This window comes from Homo sapiens, chromosome Y (assembly GCF_000001405.40).
Source record: "Homo sapiens chromosome Y, GRCh38.p14 Primary Assembly".
In the NCBI taxonomy this organism is placed as follows: domain Eukaryota; kingdom Metazoa; phylum Chordata; class Mammalia; order Primates; family Hominidae; genus Homo; species Homo sapiens.
In genome coordinates, this window is record NC_000024.10 from 9316504 (window position 1) to 9340502 (window position 23999).

Genomic DNA, 23999 nt, shown 5'->3' on the forward strand with positions numbered 1-23999 from the left:
ATAGTGCACTCTCACCTAGTAAGAGCAAGACTCCAACCCAGCAAAGTCACTGAACAAGCAATTTTTAGAATGGGACACCAGGGGACCTAGGAAATGGAAGAATTAATTAGATCAAGAAGCCTACCATCAAAGAATACTGCTAGGAACTTTTAGAAAAATTAAGGGGAATTTTCTAGCAAACACAGGATTAAAAGGAATGTTGGCCTCACTCTAATCACTTCTTTGATCTGCAATGAGAAGCTCAAGTATTTCTTCAATATAAATCTGAAATGTACCTAGTGAGATAGAAACTATAATAAAAACTATCAATCAGTAATTATGCTCACGTATGTGTCACTTCTCTTTTGTTCAATGAACTTAAAGCTAACCATTCAGGGAAAATAGCTCATTTTTAGTCATACAAAAACTACGGTCTTTCTGTCAGGTAGCATTTACCTTGGCTTCCCATCCAACTATTGCTTCTTGCCACAGCAGAAGGAGCAGATTTTTTAGGAGGAGGACCTCCACTTCTTGAAGATGGACGTCTTTTAACTGGAATGAGTCCCCTAGAATAACTCATCTTGAGATCAGGAGTGTATCCACCATCATCTGTATTTCAAACAAAATCCTTTTAGTTAACTAACATCACTGTTTCTTAAATGGCTAAGTTTTAGTTGTTTACAAATATTTTCTACATTTTATAACTAATTCACATTTTGTCTAAACTAATAAAATTAGCATTCCTACATGGTATTAGTACACTTCAAGCAATAAAAGTTCATTTAGAAAATCTAGAAAGAAACTCAAGTATCATAATATATTGGTATGAGAGAGAGATGTGGGAAAATGGGGAGTGAACGGGGGCACAAATCTATCACTGAAATATCTAAATATAATATGCATAAAAATATTAAAAGAAAAGTGATAAATGACTGCTTATATCATTCTGTAATGAGGAAAAATTTTCAAAGCACATCATAAACTAATTTCCATTCAAAGAAACTCAAATATTTCCAATACCAAGAAGTGACATATCAGGAAAATACATTGTCTCTAAAATTTGTTAACACAATATAGAATTCTTAAAATTCCCTTATGAGACACTGACTTTCAGATTAGACTATGCTGAATTTTAACAGTCTTTAGGAACTGCATATTCGGTAATATAAAAATATTTTTATACATCTACAAAAATGTAGATATATGCCAACTGCCAGGTGGTGTTACGGGTTAGAATTTATATATACATTCTCGTCCGTGGCAGAGTATAATTGAACCTCACCCTCAAGATCAGTGGAGACAAAATAGCCACGAAGCTATGCATCTTAAAATGGAGCAAACACTGCAATTTCAACTTGAAAAAAATCTCCAATAAACTACATGTCTGGTTATTAAAACTCCAAGTTAATTGTTAGAGTTTTGAAGGTTGGTTAATAGATAATACAAGTTAACCAACAGGTTTATTTATTTATTTATTCAGATGGACTGTTGCCCTATCACGCAGGCTGGAGTGCCATGGCATAACCTTGGCTCACTGCAGCTTGTGCCTCCCAGGTTCCTGTGATTCTCCTGCCTCAGCCTCCTGAGTAGCTGGTATTACAGGTGCATGCCACCACGCCCAGGCAAATTTTTTTGTATCTTTAGGAGAGACAGGGTTTCACCATGTTGGCCAGGCTGGTCTGGAACTCCTGACCTCGTGGTCCACCTGCCCTGTACTCCCCAGGTGCTGAGGTGACAGGCGTGAGCCACCTCGCACAGCCCATCCAATAGTCTTTTTTCTTTTTTTTTAAATATATGGTTTGTTTTTCTTTTATATGTAAACATAGACCCCTCATTTCTATTAAGTAAATCACTCATAAATATCATTTTCAGTGACTCAGCCTCCAGCAAAGAAAGATACATACATATCTGTGAAGCAGTGGTTTTTAGACATTTCCAGTCACAGACTCTTTTCAGAAATTAAAGTTCTACATTTCTTAAATTGAAAATGCTTTATGGCAGGCCAATGTACAAACTCTCTGTATCAAAATTACAAAGCAATACCTTTGCATAGATGTTCGCACATGTATACACAAGAAAACAAATACTGCAAAATCAGTCTTAAGTATTGAGTTACTTTTTCCTGTTGGAAAATTTTAAATATGACATCATACTTTGATAATACAACTGACACGAAGTTCTGGGCCCTAAAGCAGAAAACTCTAAAGTATAATGAATATAAATGAGTTCTGCAGAAAACCGGTTGAGTACAGGTAATCAGCATTCATAAACACAACTCAGTTTGAAATGTGTGTTACTTCAGTGCAAACTTATTGTAATTTTAAAACAAATTTATGTATTAATTCAATCATTCTTATAATACACCTTTAGTACTTAGAAATAATTTTGCTTATTATCAATAAGCTAATTTTCTCTTCATACAGGAAATAAAAAAATTGAGAAATTTCGATATCTTCAAACTTATTTTCTTTCAGTCCTATGGTTCCATCTTTATATTTTAAAACATTACCCAGGTGTCCTTCATGTGAGGGAAGCCACCCTCCTGTTCCTCCACTGCTTCCTCTTGCAGATCTCAGACTTCCTGAAGGGCTTCTGTTTCTCAAAGAAGCTGGTGGTCTTCACCTACCACCACTTTGAAAAGATGGTTTCTTGGCTTGTTCTACTTTTATTGCTTTTCCATCCAAAGACTAGAAGTATTAAGGGTACTATCAATAACAATGGCACATTTAACGTAAGCGCATTTTACAAACATTTTTACATCAACCATAGTTCAATTCGAGGTATTTTCTCCCAAAAGGAAACTTTTTTTTCTCCTAAAATGAACACATCTTTCACAATGCCAAATTTGAGATAGTTACTGAGCACATGCCTTCCATTAAGGGACCAAACACAAATTCTATTATTCAAATTCCTTGAAAACTCCTCCATTATTAAAAAAAAAAAACTCAAACATAAAAAAAAAGATTGACCCATCACACATTCTATGGAAGAATGTGGAACATCTGTTTTTTACAATATATAATCCACTTCATCTTTGTATTCACATCACTGATTTGAAAGTTGCAGTGTCCCAACGAAACTTGTGTCATTTTAAAAAGTGAGCTTACTTTTTCAGAGTGATTAGTCACATTAGTCACTATGAGCTGTTTCTTGTTGGATTTGCTAACACTTACATAAAATGTCCCCATATGATTTACAATTCTATATTGACTCTAAAAATGTTTCTGTAAATGTGATCCTTGTTTGATCTCATTAAGTTTTCTTGCCTTACTCATTTCTTATATTGCCTTACACGTGCCCCTAAAAAACGAATCTTAATATAGTACTTCAGGTAGTTTCTCAGAAATGCTTAAATATCCTAATTAATTTCATAATAACATTTTTCACTGTAATCTTCTCTACAGGCCATAGCAATTTTTGAAAACAGTTCAGCTAATAATGTGATTTACAAATTACATGGCTTTTGTTATTTGGAGGAAGGACTTAAATCCCTGACAAGACCCCTTGCAGCCACATCGCCAGTTGTTCCTACCTTGACACTTCTTTTGTTATTTCTGGGATCAAAATATTTTCCCCAGATTTGCCCATGGCTGCTTCCTTCCCAGTGTTCTGAAGTCAGCTAAAATTCCTTAACTGTTAATTCCCCCTGAAAACTCGAAGAACTTCCTTTATTGGCCATCTTAACATTAATGTGCATACAATATTCATATTTATTTTAACACACTAAAATATGTGAGATGAACTAACTTAGAAATAATGTTGGCTGGGCACGGTGGCTCACACCTGTAATCCCAACACTTTGGGAGGCCAAGGCAGGTGGATCATGAGGTGAAGAGATAGAGCTCATCCTGGCCAACAGGGAGAAACCCCATCCCTACTCAAAGTACAAAATTAGCTGGGCGTTGTGGCGCGCCTCTGTAGCCCCTGGTACTGGGAGGCTGAGGCAGGAGAATCGCTTGAACCCGGGAGGCGGATGTTGCAGTAAGCCAAGATGGCCCCACTGCAATCCAGCCTAGGGCACACAGTGAGTCTCCATCTTAAAAAACAAACAAACGAACAAAAACTTTACACAAATTAGCTGCTCTTTTGCTTGAAAACTAGAGGGAACAAAGAAATTATCATAGATTACTATACAGAAGTCAAAATTATCTCCATACCTACCACAAAGCCATGAACCAAAAGCAACTCTCGGTTTCTACCACAGCTTGAAATACTAATTTATGAGGGTGAATAAAAATGTACTTTCTGCTATGTGCCAGGAACTGTGCTAGATGTAACAGAAAGAAAAGCAACTAGCAAGACTTAAATATGCACTACATACAATTTCACATTCAATAGATTAATACATAGTACAGTGAGTACAAAATACCTACAATATGCAATGAGAAAGAAAATATGAAATCTAAGTGGTTTTTGAAGCATAAATTTTATTTATGAGACATACACAGGGAAGGATAATTCTCAACAAGTCTAAAACAGCACTTTGGGGATAGCATGAAGACTAACAGGAGCTAAAAACAGATTGGGATAATGTTGTTTATTTATTTTATTTATTTTTTATTTTTTTGAGACGGATTCTTGCTCTGTTGCCAGGCTGGAGTGCATCAGCGTGATCTCGGCTCACTGCCACCTCTGCCTCCTTGGGTTTAACTGATTCCCCTGCCTCAGCCTACTGAGTAGCTGGAACTATAGGCACACACAACCAGACGCAGCTAATTTTTTTGTGTGTGTGTTTTAGTAGAGACAGGGTTTCACCATGTTGGCCATTATGGTTTCTTTCTCCTGACCTCGTGATCTGCCTGCCTTGGCCACCCAAAGTGCTGGGATTACATCCGTGAGCCACCATGCCCGGCATGATTGGGATAATGTTACAAAGCAAAAAAGCACTAAAGAGCACAGAATGGAATGCTCTTGACTACAATGTAAAGGAATTCAATAATTAATATAATTACATAAAAGTTTAAAGCTTTAGTAAACACACAATCTCTAGATTTAAGACTCAACAGGACAAGAGACCATTGGTTGAATCAAAACAAGTCCTCAAACACACTGGGGAAATGAGTAATTAGCTATTCATGTTACATAAATCACTCTGGTGACAGGAAAGAAATGTCCTTAGGAGAAAAAGCAAGCATGGAGCAAAAATGCCAGTTACTTCTTCTGCTATCTGACTTCAATGTTCTCATATTATTTTCTCTTTTCAACTACTTACCCTTTCCGTAAATGTAAAGGTCTTATTTAAATATACTTTTGCAAGAATATATTTTCATAAAATATATTCTTCAAGAAGGAAGGAGTCTTTCCTTCTTGTGAGTCTGTCTAGATGTCTATCCACAGTTTGTCTACGCTCTAAAAGAATTTCCATGAATTGGAAGTACTTCAATTAATAGCATTTAATAAATATTGACTTATTAATTTCATTTACATGAGGGTTCCTTATAAGTTTTAAAGCTCATCAAAACCTTTTAAAATCTATTTGCACTCATATCGAAATACAAACATAGAAAAAGGTTACCAAATATTAATTTATATAATGTTAATTCCAATACCCTTCCAACTACACTTGCACGTATAAGGCACAAAAAAGAGGATGGCTTCATATGTCATTCTACTATCTTCAAAAGTTTAGTAATATTAAAAAGACCTAGAAATATTGTTAATTGAAGAACACAGTTAGAATATTATTAATAAGGGACTCTTACCTTTCCATTCATATCTTTGGCAGCATTCTTAGCATCTGCAGGGTTCTCAAAAGTAATAAAGGCAAAGCCTCTGGATTTGCTGGTTCGATCCTTTATCAAAAGAACTAAAATATATGAAAACATTTTACATTCATGTAATGGACTCATCAAGGTACTAACCATCTAAAAGTTACATCAAACTAAAAAATAATTGCATTTCACATCATTATTATGGTTCTTAATACTCAGTCACCCCTACAGTCAGTCTAGTTTATTCCAGTTTCTTTCTGAACTCCACAGCACATTTACTTTTCCTCATTTTCCTTTCTAAGTAGTAGGTTATCCTTTCCATAGAGCCTTAACCTAGTACTATGAGAATTTTCCAAATATCAAACAGATACTACAAAATAAGAGTTTAAAACTCATAAGGCATTTTCATGTAGGTATACAATGAACTTTGAAAAAATATATTTTTTCAAAACATATATATATATAACATACATATTTTAAACATACATACTGAAATATACATGTGAAAATACACATAAACACACACACACACACACACACACACACACACACGGTTTTAAGAGTTACCTTCTGATATGGGACCATATTTCCCAAACACTGCTTTAAGCATCTTCTCATTGGTCTCTCTATTGAGGCCACAAATGAAAAGCTTGCCAGGATGATCTGCCTCTACCATTGTGCTGTAAATGGTAAAAAATTATCTATATTTAGATATAAATAAGCTAAAAAGATAAAATTTTATTACAAACTGTGCTGAAAATCCAAGTAAAATTCCCTTCCTGAGGCTGACATCTTTTTATTACTTCTTACTTTAAATATGTAAAATTTGTAACACTCAGAGCAAAGGGGCACTAACTTCACACACAAATGCTGCATTTTAGTATGAACTGACAGAATCTCATTTCTAAAAATTAGATAAGAAAAGCTATCATAATTTTCCTAAGTTGCAATATGAAGAATGCCTTCATTTAAATAATTTTATTTGAAAACTGTCTATTTATGAGGTACAGTGTGATGTTTTGCATATTTTCTTTCTTGAGATGTGTGTCTCCTGTTGCCAAAGTGCACTGTTCACTGCAGCCTCCTCCACCCAGCCCAACTGATCTTCCCACATCTCAGCTTCCGAAGTTGCTAGTACTACAGGGGCTTTCTACCACAGCTGGGCAATTTTTTGTGTTTTTAAAAATAAACAAGGGTTTCCCCATATTGCCCAAGGTAGTCTCCAAATCCTGGGCTCAAGTGTTCTGCCGGCTTGGGCCTACCAAAGTGATGGGATTTCAAGGGTGAATCACCACACTCAGCATGATATTTGGATAAAAGATTAAATCAAGCTACTTAAAATGTTCTAGGGGGAGAATATTTTAAATATTTTACAATCTTCTAGTGATTTGAAATATACAATAGGTCACAGATTCTAAAACCCTAGCCTTCAACCCGTACCTATCTGTGGCCTGAATGTGATGCCACAGGATGACATGTAATACCTGTTTGTGGAGAATGTAACGCCTGAGGATGACCTGAGGTGGTACAGTTCTATCCAGAAACCATCCTCCCTACTCCCTCGCTGGCCCTCCCTGTCCCCGTGGCAGCCCCACTGCCCCACCTGTCCTCTGTCACATTGCTCCTACCGGAAGACCCGCCCTACCACGTGCCCCTCGGGTACCTGCCGCCAGCCCCCACTCCCAAACCTGTCCACCTCGCCGCCTTCTACCCCTGTGCAACCCTTGTCTGAGGAAAAATTGTCTTTCACTAAACCAGTCCCTGATGCGAAAATACCAATAAAGGAGTCCATTATGTCACCCAGGCTGGTCTCAAACTCCTCACCTCAAGCCATCCTCTGACCTCCACTTCCCAAAATGCTAGGATTACACGAGTAAGTCAGTGTGCCAGGTTAACAGAATAACTTAAGCTCATCTATGTTGTTCCCGTTTTAGGCTATCTAACTCCATTTATCTCGATTACACCCACCGATTATTCGGTTTAAATTATTTACGGTGCCAAAGATACATGAAACATGTTTCAAATACTGTCATACAACGAAGGAGACAATTACAGGCTTTACAGAGGCAAACTGAAACTGAGATTATTTATGGCCCCCATATTTCTACATACACTAAAGTAACACAATTTATGTCAAATTTCATCCAAGCAAATCAGACACGCCACATGTGCTAACTAAAAGTGTGACTTTTTAATCGCAGTGGTTAAGTGTATTGCCTGTATTCTGAATTATGACCACATTCACAGAGAAAACCCGCTTTAATAAAAAGTGCACACGAAAACAGTGGCGCCTTAGCACCATCTCCCACAACTAGTCGGACATATTAGGCAGTTAAATGTAGAATCCTCAGGAAAAATCAATGAGTTTAACGAAAGTGAGTCTCTTAATAGCACTAAGGAGTTCTTTCCCCACTGACTCCTCCCGTAATTCAACACCCACACATAGAAAACCCATCCCCTTTTATAGACAAAATCCCAAACCTTTGCTTTCTATTCTTGCCGAGAGACCCAGCTGTCCAGAGAAACAGAAAATACCTGCGCTTTTTATTAGGACAAAGAGCCTGAGGTTCGCCTGGCCCTCAGGCCGTATGTATCCAGCTTCGGAACACCACAGGGCCAGCTGCGGGAAGGACACCTGGAGCTACCCTGAGAGAGAAGGACGCCAGAAGCCGTGCCCGGAAATCCCGCCTACCTCCAGCGGCCAATCATTGAGAAGGCGGTGGGCGTCAGCCAGTTACTGCGAAGGCTGTGGGTGAGTCCTGAGGCACCCAGCCCCGGCTGGCCTGCAGCTCCATCATCTCGCTGTAACTCTTCTGAGACCCCGCTTGTGCCATGTGGCGGGCGGCGGTGGATTAAGGCACAGGCGAACTGTGAGCCCTTTGGAATTGTGGGCATGGAAGACCTACACACTAACTGGCATCCTGAGTGTGGCAAGACATTAATTAACCCACAGGGAACACATGAAACATCTCACTTCATTAGTCAGGCTAGGCTGATGGTACTGAATATTGCGGATCCAGAGGGGAGAGAGAGGGACCAGCGCTGCTGCAGGGGCGAGGGCAGCAGCGGTGGCTTGGGGGGATTGGGGCAGGGCGGGTGCGTGGGACTAAAGTCGACTGGTACGTTGCTGAGGTGGAATTCATCTGCACCAGAAGCTGAAACCCTGCAAGGATTCTCTCAGGTCTAGGCAAATACATACTCCGAGTTCCATGGTTCCTCCCTGAGGATGCTGTACTCACAGGGGCATTCCAAAGGACTTCTCATCCTGTGCCCTGGGCACACGGGAGGCCTACCGCCATGGTCGCCAATGCAGTGATCCATGTGCACTGCTTTGCTGGTGCAGAGGCCCTCACAAGTGCAGGGGTGGCCGTGGTGCCTGCTAGCGGGGCTCTGGAAGCCAGGGCCTTGGCATCCTACTCCAGGGCTGCTGTGCGCAGCTAACCCTGCTGGGTATCTGAGCCCCATTGTGAGTGTGACAGGCTAAGGGTCCTGTGGGGCTCCCCAGGAACCCTGTTCCACATAGGTGTAGGATGTGGTTCTCAGCAGGGCAAGGCCCGCAGGTCTCTCCTGGAGTTGCCCCCAGAGTCTAGGGGTGCCGGGGGCAGGTGGGGTGGGAGGCACAGGCTTTGCTCTGTTGGAGCCCCAAGGAGGGCACCATGTTAAGGCTGGAGGCTGTGCAGGAGAGGATGGCCTGTGCACAGAGCAGGAAGGCAACCCTGGGGGAAGAGGCATGCTAGTGGGGGATGACATCATTGCAGAGATGGAGGTGGTGGCCAAGGAGGAGGCCAATGTGGAGCCACAGCAGGAGGACCTGCAGGCACAGCCTGGCCCTGGCCCCAGTACGCCCCGGCCAGCAACAGACTCGCTGGACGTCCTTCACTTGGAGCGCAGCTACATGAATGTCCCAGGCTGCAGGGCATCCCCGGCTTCTGGGCCAGAGCCATATCCTTGCAGCTGCCAATTCGGGATGGTTGGCCGCAGGGGATGGGCGCCGAGCTCCTGAGAATGGAGGTGGGGGAAACAACGTGGTAGGCACTGGGGGTCAGCCAGGATTCAGGGCATGGGGGACAACAAGGGGAGCCGAGAACAGACTCATGCAGATAGTAGGGCAGCTTAATTGCATGTGCCCTGAGGGCATGTGGTAGGGACAGGAAGCCAAGCACAGCACTCACAAGGAAGAATAGCAGCGCCAAGGACCCTTCGTAACAGCAGAAAGTTGAAGGATACGTTTCACTGGGAAAGTCCCTTGAGGAAGGGGAGTCTGCATGCCCATGCCAGCAGTGGAACTTCCCTGCTCCCCATGCCTGTGTCCAGCAAGCTCACCCCAGAAACACAAGGTGCTCAAGACTCGGTGTCACTGTGCACGGGGCTGCTGTCCTATGCAAGGCAGGCACTATCTCCCCAGACACAATTTCTTCCCTCTGCCAGCGCGGCACCCAAAGATGTTTAGGCCCTGAGCATATATAACCTCCCTTGAAACCACTCGAGCTCCATGGGGAGAGCCAGGCACAGCCCTGTAGCTACTTCTACGCACAGCAGTTCCATGGGGTGGACACATGCACCCCTCAGGGAGACCAGGAGAAGGAGAGACCACACACCCAGACAGCAGCAGAGCCTGTCCAGCACCCAGCACAGGAGGGCCTCCTGCAGCTCAGAAACACTGAGCAAGTAGTTGCCTCACACAACAACACCCTGCCCGCAACCCCCTGCCAACTTCTTCAGTGCCAGCCCCTGGTCAGAGCAGGTTGTCTGGGCCTGTCTCCACCCACCACCAAGACCACCACAGCTCTGATGGTGCCCTACACGCCAGAGAGAGACAGAGGACCTGGAAGGGAAGGTGCCCTGCCCCACACTCTCCGTGCTCTTGCAAACTTGCAGGGTGTTTCCTTGCACGCCCACCCAATCATCTGGCGGCTCCTTGACCAGAGGCAGATTGTGCAGCACACCCAGATGTTGGCCGGGATCACAAATGATGATGAAGTCCTGCTAAGTTACGTATGTGATGGATTTGCAGGTCAGGCTAAGGAGCCTGAGTCTTCAGGAGGGGTCTGGTGTCTGGGTCAGGTTGAGGTACCCCTGGGATGCGGGGGTGTCTCAATGAGAGAGTTGGGAAGGAGAAACACATGCTTCACCCCAGCTAACAGCTCACCTCACCCCAGCTACGTGAAATGGTCCTTTGAGTACATCCTCTTTCTCCTTCTTGGCCAGGGAAGGGGAGGAACGCAACTATCCCGGGTACCGGAGGCAGGATGAAGTTTTCCCTTTATCACAATCTTTACTTCCACAATGAAGTGATCATTCAAGAGTATTGCTTCGGCATCCTCGGTAAGGAGCACCTCCCTGCATAGTAGGGGAGCTGGTGTGTGGGAGGGTAGGTCTGGCATGAATCTTCCTGACTCTTCTCTCTGCAGGATACAGGATGTCTCATTCCACTGTAGTCTAGTGGTTGTGAGATCATGAAAGTGAAGCCTCCACCTGCAGGTAGTACAGCTCCTACCTGAGCTTCTTCAGCTGGTTGGCTGACCATGACTGCCCAGGTTCTGGCAGGATTGCTGAGGTGAGCGCCAGGTAGGGCATCATGGGAAAGGATCTTGCTGGTCATTCCTTGGCCTCTGGGGAATTGGCTTTGAGCCATGACCTGAACTAACCAGTACCCACTTCTGCAGTCCCCTAGATCATCAGCCAGAGCCTGTAGCTCAATCCCCTGCAGTACTTCTCCAGGGAGGGAGGCCATTAGAGAGTGAACAGAGAGGAGGCCAGGTGAGCAGTCTAGGGCTGGGGACTGAGAGGCCGTTTATTCCTGGAGTTGTGCCCCACATGGAGAATCCAAGCCTCAGGGAGGTGACTGCAGTGAGCAATCCCACGCCATCCATGGGCTGGCGGAGAAATGGCCATCAAAGAACTGTAACACCCACATTTTAGGATTGGGGCACCTTAAGCCGCCTAAGAGGAATAAGTGTCTAAGGTCAATGGGTGAGAAGCAAGACTCAAGTGGTAGCTGTCTCATCATCCCTCACCAGCTGAGGCCTGAGGCCGGCCACCACTTGGGACTCAGTTTGGGCTCAACCAGGGCCCTCTCACCCTCCACGCAGATATCCTCCCAAGGTCCCTATGTCTTCCCTGATGGGCTGTCCCACGCCCATCATTTTTTGTTACAATGATCCCAGGCTTCCCTGAGATGCTTTCTGCTCTCTGCCATCATCACTCACACTTCCCTGCCCCACGCTGCCCCACCAGACAAGAGAGGCCACTACACAGGGAATCTGGAGAACCACACTGGGCTCACAGTATTGTGAATAGGTTAAACCTTGTATAGTATTGTCATTCTCTCTTTCATAAATTTTTGAAGAACTCTGATACTGTTTCCATCCCCCCACCCCTGAGGAGAACATGCAGATAGTTCCAAACAATTGTGGAAGTGAGTGGGTATGAAAACATAATTTGAAGGCCAGGTGGGGTGGCTCACGCCTGTAATCCCCACACTTTGGGGGGCCAAGGCTGGTGGATTACCAGATGTCAGAAGTTCAAGACCAGCCTGGTCAACATGGTGAAACCCCATCTCTACTAAATATTCAAAAATTAGCTGGGCGTGGTGGCAGGTTCCTGTAATCTTAGCTATTTGGTGGGCTGAGGCAGGAGAATCGGTTGAACCCGAGAGGTGGAGGTTGCAGTGAGCCAAGATCACGCCACTGCATTACAGCCTGGGTCACAAGACCAAAGCTTTGTCTCCCCCACCCCACACCCCCCAAAAAAAGCATCAAATTTACATAAACATAATTATCTTAAAAGCCAGCATAATTTTAATTTTATTGTAGTCATTAGTTTCAGACATTGTTTATTTTGGAGAAGTGATTACAGAAACTACAAAAATCAAAGCCTGATGAGAACCTTTAAATTAACCACACTGCACAAGCCCAAAGCTGAAAAACTAAGGTGTTTCTGATATAATAGACCAAATTCTGCATTTCCTCTCTATTGGGCAGCGTAATATTGCACATATGAAAAAAAATGCAGTGTTAAATAAAAAGTAGTGGAATTAAGAGGAGTCATTGCTTAGTGAATTAAAACAACACACAAATTGAGAAGAAAAGACAGTGATAGAAAATATATTGTCTATTGATTTAATTCAGAATAATTTTCATTTTTGTCTATTAGCATTAAATAGTACCATTAACATAATATCATTTTGTATATTGTCTTCTAACATGTAAGTGGTTTTTATTTTGTATATTTGGAAACCTGATCAAAGATTCTTTATACATTTTATTTTTTCCGAAATTTGCTACCTAATAGCTAGCTAAATGCTAGTTGCCTGAATGCCTCTCACTAAGTTGTTTGTCTTTTCCTAATACATTTAATATGAACTTGGTGTGTAGTTTGTTGGCATCTTTACTAAATCTACAGGTGTTGAAGTTGTTCAGATCTCAGTCATGGATCCTCTTGGGTTTTCTCAAGGCTAAAACACCCTTTCTATGCTGACCATTAAGAAATTCTCAACTTCAGGCCAGATCTTTGTTCTACCTTCAGACTTGGCATATCCAACTTCATGCCTTACATCTCCACATACCAAAACCAGACCTTCCTTTCATCCCCAAAACATGTTTCCTCCTACAGTATTCCACTATTTCAGAAATTCACAGCACCAAATACCCTGTATTTCAAGCTAGAAATGTAGAGGATGATTCTTCAGGCAGCCTTTTCTCAATGACTCTTCATCATTTACATCCAACTCTTCACAGGTTGTGTGTCCTCTCTGAGAATTACATAGTCTTAGTAAATGAAGAGTGGCCCGTAAGTAACCTTCAATCGTCCAGTTTTTTTTTCTTCAATTCACGCCAGTTTCTCTACAGAACAGCTGGAGCTCTGCAATGTCAATGTTGGAGTAAGTACCATTCTCTGCCAGTATTACCATTTTATTTATGATGAGATAAATTATCCTTAAAAATGCCCACACAAATCTATACTAAGTAACACAATTAAATTATGTCTTTGTTTTACAGAAAAGTACAAGGCAAATAGAATCAATTGTTATTATATAATCTTTATAACTACACACAAAGGTACTAGATATTTCAGACCCCACTTCATACATCTGAAATTTGACTCTCAAAGTCATTAACTCCTCTTAAAGTCTAATTTCAGATTGCAAAACTACCTCTTTCCACAATATTGTGCTATCTGCCTTTAAGAACCAGCTGGGGAATCATTAAGAATAAAAAATATAATTTTCTTCAACATCTCCTAGCTGAGCCAAAATCTAAATTTTCTGTGGAGATGTTGGTGTGCACAATTTTGCCAAAACTTTTACAACTTTAACCACAGCCATGCTTCTGTGGCCTACCTGTTCATCCAATACCTGCACGCATGCTTTAACATAGAAAAATTTGAAAGTTAATACGAGTATTAACTCTTATCATTATAGACAATGACATCTGAAGACGCTTTCCAATCTTCCTTGAGTATATAATATCCAAAATGTCAGTACAGTCTCCAAAATGTCAATGTAATCTTAGTAGCAGTGGTTCATTACAGAAGATAATTTTGCCACAGTGGTCAAATATTTTTGTTAAATACTGCTATTTTATAGCCATACATAGCATTAACTGACCCATGTTGTATAGCTAGAAAAATGATCCTAAAGAAAATGTTCAGAAATAGGTTTCATATATTTTGCTAAATTGCAAACTAACAGGTTAATCGCTACCGTGAAGTGCTAGACAGTTGGAGTAGTATTTACCAAGAATGAAAAAGAAGATAGGGCCATATGAATTGAGAAGGCTGCCGTTATGAAAAGATATCATATTTATTCCTGACTCCTGGCTTGATATTCTTTGTGTGGGGCTTATTTTTTTTTATGGTTGTTGTTCTGTTTTTGGTTTTTTGTTGTTGTTTTACTTTCTCTTATGTGTCAGATCAGAGTTTCACAAACATCCTCAAATAATTACATGGGTCATAAATAAAACATATACCCAGAAACTTATAGCTATTTTACTTCAAAATCCTGGTTCAATCACCTGGAATGAGACCTGGAGAACCAGTAATTCTCACAAGTATGCTAAGTGATTATTACCAAAATGACAATTGTGAAATATTTAGACAATCATCCAGGAGCTAGGTAATCAACATTTAATAATTGGTTCTTACTGTAAGGGTAAAGGATTTTGTTGAAATGACTATTTAAATGCAAGTTTTATTAAAAAGATAGAAGTGAGCACTTCAGTGCTTTCTAATTAGTGTCTTTAAAGTATGTTTTGCTAAAATGGCAAAATAATTTTTTCATCTGAAGTTAGCATTATGGCCTCAAATGACTTCTGAGTTAGCTTTTGGAAAATCTTCAGATGATAAATTCTAAAAACTATCTTGGGTGTTTGTAAAACTTCAGAACATCACTAGGAAGAATATAAATAAAATTACCACTATGCAAAATAATCAAAATAACTCATACAAATGTACAGGAAAAAATATATACAATCTAGCCCAGTAGAAGAAAGCAGTACAGGTAAATAATTAGATCCTTTTTAGAAAAGAGGAAAGTCAACTGACCAACGAAAAATGGCTAGATGCTTGAACTCATTAGTAATCTGGGGATATAAATCAAAACCACATTAGGTTCCAACTTTTGTTCATTAGCTTGTCAACTATTAAAATAATAATTACTGAGTGTAGTCAAGAATGTAAGGAATGATAATTTTTCCCATCAATCCACAGGACTATCTAATCATATTTAGTAAAATTAGGGTGACTAAAACCTTTATTGATCCAATGGAAACTTTTTTAGGATAAAAGAGTACGAACATATACAAAACCATTTATTATTTAATATATTATTTCCTTACAGGCAAATTGTTTTTACTGTATGGTTGGATCTATAAAACAGTTACCTTCCAAATATTTTTGAAAATGAAATACCTTGAAAAATTTAAAACCACAATAGTATATCTTGAAGCAAAAGAGAAAAATAACTTCTTTAAATTTATTGTTTAAACATTAGAAATAGTAGGCAGAATAACGATTCTGAACATATTTATATGAATTAATGTGTTTCTTAACAATAATTATACATAGTTCTTTTCTAGAAAATGCATTTCTTTTAATGTTATATTGATTTTTAAATAAAGTTACTTGCAAGCTTTTCCAAAGTTGCTTCTTGTTGTCACCAATAAAAGTTATCACCAATGTTTAGCTTTTTAACTGAACATTAAAAATCATTTATCACACATTGTTCAATGTTTTATTTCTGGCACAATAAATTTCAAAAGCTTTATTTTGTTTGCAATGATTGATTAAAAATTCAAACTGTTTTTTAATGTAATTTTCTATTTGAAACATCTAAATGGCATTATTCAATTCTTTTGGAATTTCTTCTGTAGCTAATGGAGCTAACATACTAACAATTACTGATGCATATTTCTTAAGTGCAGAAAAATTAGAATTAAAATGTACACAATTGATTTTTTAAAATAGTAATATAATATAAATAAAAAGCCAGGCATCTCAGAATTATATGCTTAATTTTTCCAAATTCACACACTAAACCTGTGAAAATGTCATCTTCAGGCATAGTTTTCTTAATGTAACTAATTATTATGTTATGAAATAGCAGCTGCTTTTTCCCCTCAGCCATCTGTATTCTGGATTTCAGGATATCACTTTTAGCCTGTGATCCCAACATGGACTACATGGGATCACAGGCTACCCCATGGGTATCATGACTACCCCATGTGTTTACTGGCACTCTTTAAACCATAATTTGATTGAACGGGAAACTGAGTAGTTTTCAATTAAGTACCTACTTGCATTTTTAGGCCATTGCTGATGAAACAGATTTTTTTAAATAGTCATTAGCAAATAGCCCATAAATAGGTAGTTATAAGAATATAACAGATGACAAAACGACTGTGGCCAGACAAATCAACTACTGTCTGTCACCTAAGCTTCTATTTCCAACACATAATTTACATATATCTAGCCTATTATTTCCTTCCTTTTCCCCAGACCTACCATTTCCACAAGGGGCAAATAAGAAAAAGAATTTAACACCCCCCATATAAAGTACAAACAGTAATCTGAAAAGAACCACAAGGGAAAAAAATTCAAAATTTACAACTATCTACCCTAAAAGAAGCTGAAAGTCCCTCAAAAACTTTCTAGAGGCCATGTCCTTCTATTACAAAAATGATCATAAGAACTGCAGGAGTAGAAGAATAAAAATGCATCTTAAAACTTGCTAAACACTTCAAGTCTCCCATAAGAATTGTAATGGAAAATGGATCAGTCAGCAGTTTTTTCCATACAATTATGAACGAATTATATTTCCTCATACACAGATTTGTTTTTTCAATATTCTAAGGAATTAACTTTTATACTAATAGTAGGTGATGTAAGAAAGCAGGCCTTTATCAAGATAACTGACACTGGATGTCCATACCATTACTCAGGTGGGCCTTAATTCCCAGCCGGGTTCCCTCCCTGGACACACACTGAAGGTCCCCAGCCATTTGGCAATCTCTTCACATTCCCAGCCCTGGAGGTAGCCCTAAAATACATGTACCTGAAGAAAATAAAACATTGCCTCACACTGGAGCCCAGTGTGGTCCTCCAGATTCCGTGTGAGGTGGACTAACTTATATGGGAAGGCAGGGCAGCGGGAGTGAGGATGGCAGAGAGGATTACACATGTCAAGGCAGCCGGGGTCATGGAAACAAAACATGACTGGCCTGGGAGAAACACTGTGAAAGGACACAGACCTAGGTGGGCCTCAGGTGGACATCCTCGTGGAGAAAAAGGGGGCCCTGGTTGATCTCAAAATGAGCCCCAGGTGGTAGCAGGTCTTACCGCAGGGCAGGGAGCTGGCGAATGATAATGAGACAGCTATCCCTTTAGCCCTGCTTGTCACCCACTGACTTTAGCCACATATGCATCATAGTGGCTTAAGGGGCCCCGATCGTGAAATGTGGGTGTTACATGTCCCTGATGGGTCTCTCTCCCCCAACCCATGGATTGTCTGGGATTGCTCACTGCAGTCTCCTCCAGGATCCTTGGGTTCTCCATGTGTGGCCCAGATCCAGGTCAAAAGGCCTCTCAGTTCCCAGCGCTTCCCAGCCCTGGGCTGCTCGACTGGCCTCCTCTCTGTTACGCCTCTAAGGCTGACCCAGTCCCCATGGGATAGAAATGCAATGGATTGAGCCATAGGCCCTGGCTCATGATCTAGGGGACTGCAGAAGTGGGTCCAGGACAGTTCAGGTGACAGTTTAAAGCCAATTCCCCAGAGACCAAGGAATGACCAGCTAGGTCCTTTCCCATGATGCCCCACGGCAAACACCACCTCCGAACTCGTGCCAAAACCCAGGCAGTCATGTTCAGCCAAACAGCTGAATAAGCTCAGGTAGGAGGTGTACTGCCTGCAGCTGGAGGCTTAACCTTCGTGAACCCAGAACCGCTGGACTGCAGTGGAATGAGACACCCTGTAGCCTGCAGGGAGAGGAGTCAGGAAGGTTCATGCCAGTTCCACCCTCCCACACACCAGCTCTCCTACCATGCTGGGAGGCATTCCTTACCGAGGATGCCAACACAGTGCTCCTTCATGATGATTTCACTGTGGAAATAAAGGTTGGGATGAAAGGAAATCATCCTGCCACCGGTAACCGGGATGGCTGTGTTCCTCCACCTGCCGGATCAAGGAGAAAGAGGATGGATTCAATGGGACCATCTCAACTAGCTGGGCTGAGGTGGCCTACTTGCTGTAGTGAGCCATGAGTTTCCCTTTCCCAGCTCTGCCACTGAGACGACCCTGGTCCCAGGGGGACCTCAAACTGACTCAGACACTGGACTCCTCCCACAGACCCAGGCTCCCCAGCCTGACCTGCAAATCCATCACGTAGCAAAGCAGGACTTCCGCATGCTTTCTGACCCACGCCGACATCTCGTGTGCCAAACAATCTACCTCTGCGCAAGAACTCTCCAGAGGATTGGGTGGGCAAGCCTCGTGACGCCTTGCAATTTCGCAAGAACACAGACAATGTGGAACAGGGCCATCTCCCAGACATTTGGCCAGTCACCCTTCATTGTTGGCCCTCTATCTCTGTCTGGGGAGGAGGCAACGCCACAACTGTGGTGGTTTTTGGAGTGGGTGGACCCCGGCCAAGACGGCCTGGGCTGACCAGAGACCGGAGGCAGAAAAAGTGGGCAGGTGGTTGCAGCTGAGGGACGGGAGGGGCGGGGGGTGGTGTGAGGCGGCTGCTTCTCTGGGTTTCTGAGATGCAGGAGGCCTTTGTGTGCTGGGTGCTGGACATGCTCCGCTGATGTCCGGGTGTGTGGTGTCCTCTTATCCTAGTCTCCCTGAGGGGTGGGCCTGTCCACCTGAGGGAAGCCTTGTAGTTAGAAGCCACAGCAGGGTCGTGCCTGGCGCTCTCCAAGGGAATTGCGTGGGTCCAGAGGAAGTTATACAGGCTCAGGGCCTACACCCCTTTGAGTGCAGCGCCTGCAGTTGGAAGAATGCGCATCTGCGGAGCTGGTGCCCGCCGTCAGGTGGTCGGCAGCCCCATGCGCCGCGAACCCGTCTTAAGCACCTTGTGTTTCTGGGGTGAGCCTGCTGGAAACAGGCACCGAGAGCAGGGGTGGTTCAATGGCTGGTAATGGCATACAGATTCCCCGTCCTCCAGGGACGTTCCCAGGGAAACGTGTCCTTCGAATTTGGGCTGTGCGCAAAGGGACCTTGGCGCCGCGATTCTCCCTTGTCAGTGCTGGCCCTGGCTCCCCTTCCCTACCACGTGCTCCCAGGGCTGCTACAAGCGAGCTGCCCTCACAGCTGCGGGAACGTGGCCTCGGCTCCCACGCTGTCCCCCATCCCCTGCCTCCTGGCTGACCCCACGCGCCTCCCACCTGGCTCCTCCCCCCAAACAGCCCCCATACCCCCCGAGGCCCGATGACTATCCCCTGCTGCCCGCCATCCCAAATCGGCAGCCGCAAGGATATGGCTCTGGCTCACAAGGCGGAGATGCTCTGTGGCCTGGGGCATTCACGGAGCCCAGCTCCAAGTGAAGGACCTCCAGCGAGTCCATTGACGGCCCCGGTGTGCTCGGTCCAGGGCCAGGCTGTGCCCGCTGGCCCTCCTTCTGCCACCCCACGTCGGGCTCCACCTCAACCACCACCTCCACCTCAGCCATGATGTCTTCCACCTTCAGCACCGCCTCCTCTTCCAAGGCCGCCTCCTTGCTCTGTACCCCGGCCGTCCTCTCCAGCATTGCCTCCAGCCTGAACACGGTTTTCTCCTGGGTGCTCCCACAGACCCTGGGCCTGCGCAGCCCAGCCCAGCCCAGCCCATGCCCCGCACCCGTAGGCTCTGGGGGCCCGCTCCCCAGCAGACCCGCTCCCTGCAAGACCCACGGGCGTCGCCCTGCTGTGAACCTGGTCCCACACCTACGTGGACCCAGGTTTCCTGAGGAGCTCCGCTGGACCCGCAGATCCCGCACTGGCCAAAGGGCTCCGGTCCCCAGCAGGCTCAACTGCGCACAGGAGCTCGGGAGCCAGAGGCCCCGGCCCTGGGCTTGCAGAGCCCCACCAACAGGCACCGCAACCGCTGCTGCGGGTGCGGGAGCCTCTGGGTCGTCAAGGCAGCGCACAACAGCGTGCGCGCAGGCCGACAATGGCCAACCCTGGCGGCTGGCCTCTGGTGTGCCCAGGGCATAGGACAAGAGGCCCTTTGGAATGCTCCTTGGAGTACAGCATCCTCAGGGAGGAAGCATGGTACTCGGAGCCTCTATTTGCCTCGACCTGTGAGAGTGTGTGCCGGGGCTCTGGCCTCTACAGCAGATCAATTCCACCTCAGCACCGGCAGGCGACTTTCCTCCCACGTGCCCGCCCCGATCACTTCCCCCAGGACACCCCTGCCGCCCTAGCCCCAGCAACCAGAGAGAGTTCTCTGCATCTGCTGTATTACCTCCGTACCATCTACCTGGCCTGCCTAACGAAGAGAGATGTTTCCTGTGTTCATGACACATAGAGATGTTCATGGCTTGCCACACTGAGGATGTCAGGGCACAGGGCTGCCATGCCCACAATTCCAAAGGCCACGCAGCCCGCGTGTGCCCGGATGCCTAGCTACCCGGCACAAGCTCCAAGGGCTTCTCGGAGGAGGCTTGGGCAGGGAAGGCGGGGGTTGGGGGGGCTGGAGATGCAGGCCCGCCAGTGGCTGTGCCGCCCAGGGAGACGCCCACCGCCCTCCCATTGACTGGCCACGACGGGAGGAAGTCGGCCTGGGTGCGGCCCCCCGGCCCTTCGCGCGCAGTCCCTTAGGGGGCGCCTGGAAGCCCGGCGCATGCGCCCTGAGGGCTCGCTGACCTACCGGGTGCCAGAGAGGCTGCGGCAGGGTTTCTGTGGCGTGGGTCGGGCAGCACAGGCCTTGGTGTGTGCGAGTGCCAAGGAGGGCACCGCCTTCAGGATGGAGGCTGTACAGGAGGGGGCGGCCGGGGTGGAGAGTGAGCAGGCGGCTTTGGGGGAGGAGGCGGTGCTGCTGTTGGATGACATAATGGCGGAGGTGGAGGTGGTGGCGGAGGTGGAGGTGGTGGCGGAGGAGGAGGGCCTCGTGGAGCGGCGGGAGGAGGCCCAGCGGGCACAGCAGGCTGTGCCTGGCCCTGGGCCCATGACCCCAGAGTCTGCACTGGAGGAGCTGCTGGCCGTTCAGGTGGAGCTGGAGCCGGTTAATGCCCAAGCCAGGAAGGCCTTTTCTCGGCAGCGGGAAAAGATGGAGCGGAGGCGCAAGCCCCACCTAGACCGCAGAGGCGCCGTCATCCAGAGCGTCCCTGGCTTCTGGGCCAATGTTGTATCCTTCTCAGTGTTTCTTCGGCCTTTCTAGTGGAGAGGTGCTCTCGGGGAAGTGTAAGTGACCGATGGGCAGCTCGGCGTCGATGTGACTCTTTGGGGAACAAAGGGGAGTTGCCACGGACCAGTGTGGCTGTGGAAAGCCGGAGCAGGCGTGGGTACTATTGTCCTGCATGCGGCAGAGAAACCCTTGGTGATGCCGAGCAGCAGACGTTTGGGGCATCTTTTTGAAGAGCAGAAGCGAGTTCAGAGCGGAAGAGGTTTTTCAGTGAATGAAGCTATTTTTAAGGGAGTGTGATTGCTGCCCCTTGCTAGTCCGATCTGGGACTGGGCGTCTTCGGCTATAAGCAGATTCTGCCACTCCTCAGACACCAGCAAGTCTCTGCAAATCGCGCCTCCCCATGTCAGTGCAGTCAGCCTCAGAATCATACACCCTCTGTGAACACAGGAGGCCTTAGTTTACGGGGAGGGGGAGGCGAAAGGAGATCATACATGGAAGCAGATCTGAGAAATCCCCTACCCCAGCCTCTGGGTGCTCTTAGGCCTTCTTCCCTGTTGCTCCTCGCTTTCCCTTCCATCGTGTGTAAAGTCTCTTTGACCTAAATCAGATTGCAAACCACCCCCAGATGTCAGCCCTGATCACTGACGAAGATGAAGACATGCTGAGCTACATGGTCAGCCTGGAGGTGAGGCCAGGAAGACTGGGGCTAGAGGGTTTAGCGGGGGAGGGTAAGGGAAATAATTCATTCCTGTAAGCAAGAGTGAGCACCTCACCCGAAAACCTATCTAAGCTTTCTCCACCTTGTCCTGACAGGTGGAAGAAGAGAAGCATCCTGTTCATCTCTGCAAGATCATGTTGTTCTTTCGGAGTAACCCCTACTTCCAGAATAAAGTGATTACCAAGGAATATCTGGTGAACATCACAGGTGACAGGTGGCTCCCAGGATGGGTAGTGGAAGGAAGATGGTGGGTGGATCATTGCCAACGGGATCCAGCCCCCTTCCCACAAAAACTCCTGTCTCTGTAGAATACAGGGCTTCTCATTCCACTCCAATTGAGTGGTATCCGGATTATGAAGTGGAGGCCTATCGCCGCAGACACCACAACAGCAGCCTTAACTTCTTCAACTGGTTCTCTGACCACAACTTCGCAGGATCTAACAAGATTGCTGAGGTGAGTCCTCACTGGGAAACATGAGGAATGACCCCATGTGTTCCCAGCTGCTTGGGTCACCTTTCTGAGCCCTGATGAGGCCTTTCCCGATTGAGTCCCCTGACAGATCCTATGTAAGGACCTGTGGCGCAATCCCCTGCAATACTACAAGAGGATGAAGCCACCTGAAGAGGGAACAGAGACGTCAGGTGAGCCGTTAGTTGGCACTGGAGCTGTTTGATGCCCAGTATAAGGGGGTTGACACACCTGCCTATTCAGGGAGCCTGGGTGCTCATTTCAGAAATGTAGAAATTGAGGCTCCTTTCGTACATGTAGAAATTCCTTGAGAGGAAGACAGAGAGTGACAGAATCCAGGACGTTCATGGCATTGGGCTGAAAAGGCACGTTAGAGACTGCACTGCAAAGCGGGTGATAGCTGTGGAGTCTTAAGCCCAGTGAAGAATCGTCCATTTCCAGAATCAATGAGAAGTAAAGCTGAAAATCATTCAGTTCAGTCTGTGGCACTTGATTCCACGGCTGTCAACCCCACCGGCAGTCATCCCGCCAACCCCATGAGATTGGGCTCCCTGAATGTGCGTCCTGGTCATCCTTGCCCCAAACCACAAAGGACTGTTTAGATTGATGGATTTCCTTAAGCTGTTGCCCCATCAGACTTGTGTGTGCTTTTAGGGTCCAGTGCATCTTGTTAGCTGACTCCCCTCACAGACAATACTGGGAATGGGGCAGGGATTGCGCAGAACAGTTTGTAACACGTGGTAGGAGGAAGTTTAAGGGATCACAAATGGGGAAGGGATATCCTTTTCTCAGCGGGCCCCACAATTGAAACATTTCAAAGTATGGCTCAGAGAAAATGCGTTTTAACATGAGTTTGTGTTTCTCTAGGGGACTCCCAGTTGTTGAGTTGAATATGATGGAGCATCAGATTTTACCTAATACAGCAGAACTCCTAAAAAGTTACAGCCATATGCAGGACGGCAGTACTCAGCATGGTCTTATGCACAGGAACTAAAGGAAAAAGAGATCGAGTCACAAAAATTCAGGAAGAGGGGGTAAATGTGGATTGTATGGAATGAAAAATAAACATTCTCAAGGATGTGTGACTCTGTGTCTGTGTGTGTGTGTGTGTCTTTGTGTTTGTGTGTGTGTGTGTGTGTGTGTGTGTGTGTATGTTTATCCACTTTATTCGGGTGTCATAATGAATTGATCAATCCACGTGCTTTATTCTCTTCATGGAAATAACCAGTCTGCGTTGGAGCTGGGCCTCTAAAGTTGTAGAGTGAATGGGTGTGGGATGTGTTGGGATTCTTCCTACAGGAC

At 44.9% G+C, this 23999-nt stretch overlaps 1 protein-coding gene, 1 long non-coding RNA gene and 2 pseudogenes across 6 annotated transcripts; 2 read left to right on the forward strand and 2 right to left on the reverse strand.

Moving 5' to 3' along the window:
• Window positions 1-557: 557 nt before the first annotated feature.
• On the reverse strand, window positions 558-6371 carry RBMY1A3P (RNA binding motif protein Y-linked family 1 member A3, pseudogene; annotated as a pseudogene). Its single transcript, NR_001547.1, has 4 exons — window positions 6258-6371; window positions 5682-5785; window positions 2489-2666; window positions 558-588 (listed from the first exon to the last, which is right to left on the reverse strand). The product of NR_001547.1 is annotated as an RNA binding motif protein Y-linked family 1 member A3, pseudogene (transcript).
• RBMY1GP (RNA binding motif protein Y-linked family 1 member G, pseudogene) lies at window positions 8987-14084 on the forward strand (annotated as a pseudogene).
• Window positions 13377-18329, reverse strand: TTTY20 (testis expressed transcript, Y-linked 20). The gene is made up of 2 exons (NR_001546.1): window positions 18248-18329; window positions 13377-13553 (listed from the first exon to the last, which is right to left on the reverse strand). It is a non-coding gene; the product is annotated as a testis expressed transcript, Y-linked 20 (long non-coding RNA).
• Window positions 18330-20960: 2631 nt separating this feature from the next.
• Window positions 20961-23775, forward strand: TSPY4 (testis specific protein Y-linked 4). 4 transcript variants are annotated; one of them, XR_001756006.2, is made up of 6 exons: window positions 20961-21510; window positions 22118-22195; window positions 22324-22435; window positions 22544-22682; window positions 22778-22870; window positions 23565-23775. XR_001756006.2 is itself a non-coding variant. In XM_005272743.5 (6 exons), exons 1-5 carry the CDS (start codon window positions 21007-21009, stop codon window positions 22838-22840), a joined length of 903 nt encoding a protein of 300 aa, XP_005272800.1. In that variant the 5' UTR covers window positions 20961-21006; the 3' UTR covers window positions 22841-22870; window positions 23565-23775. The 4 variants fall into 4 exon arrangements, 3 of the variants coding, with proteins under 3 accessions (XP_005272800.1, NP_001157943.1, XP_016885554.1); XM_005272743.5 differs by having other exon boundaries at window positions 22537-22682; NM_001164471.2 differs by having other exon boundaries at window positions 22537-22682; window positions 22789-22870.
• Window positions 23776-23999: the final 224 nt, after the last annotated feature.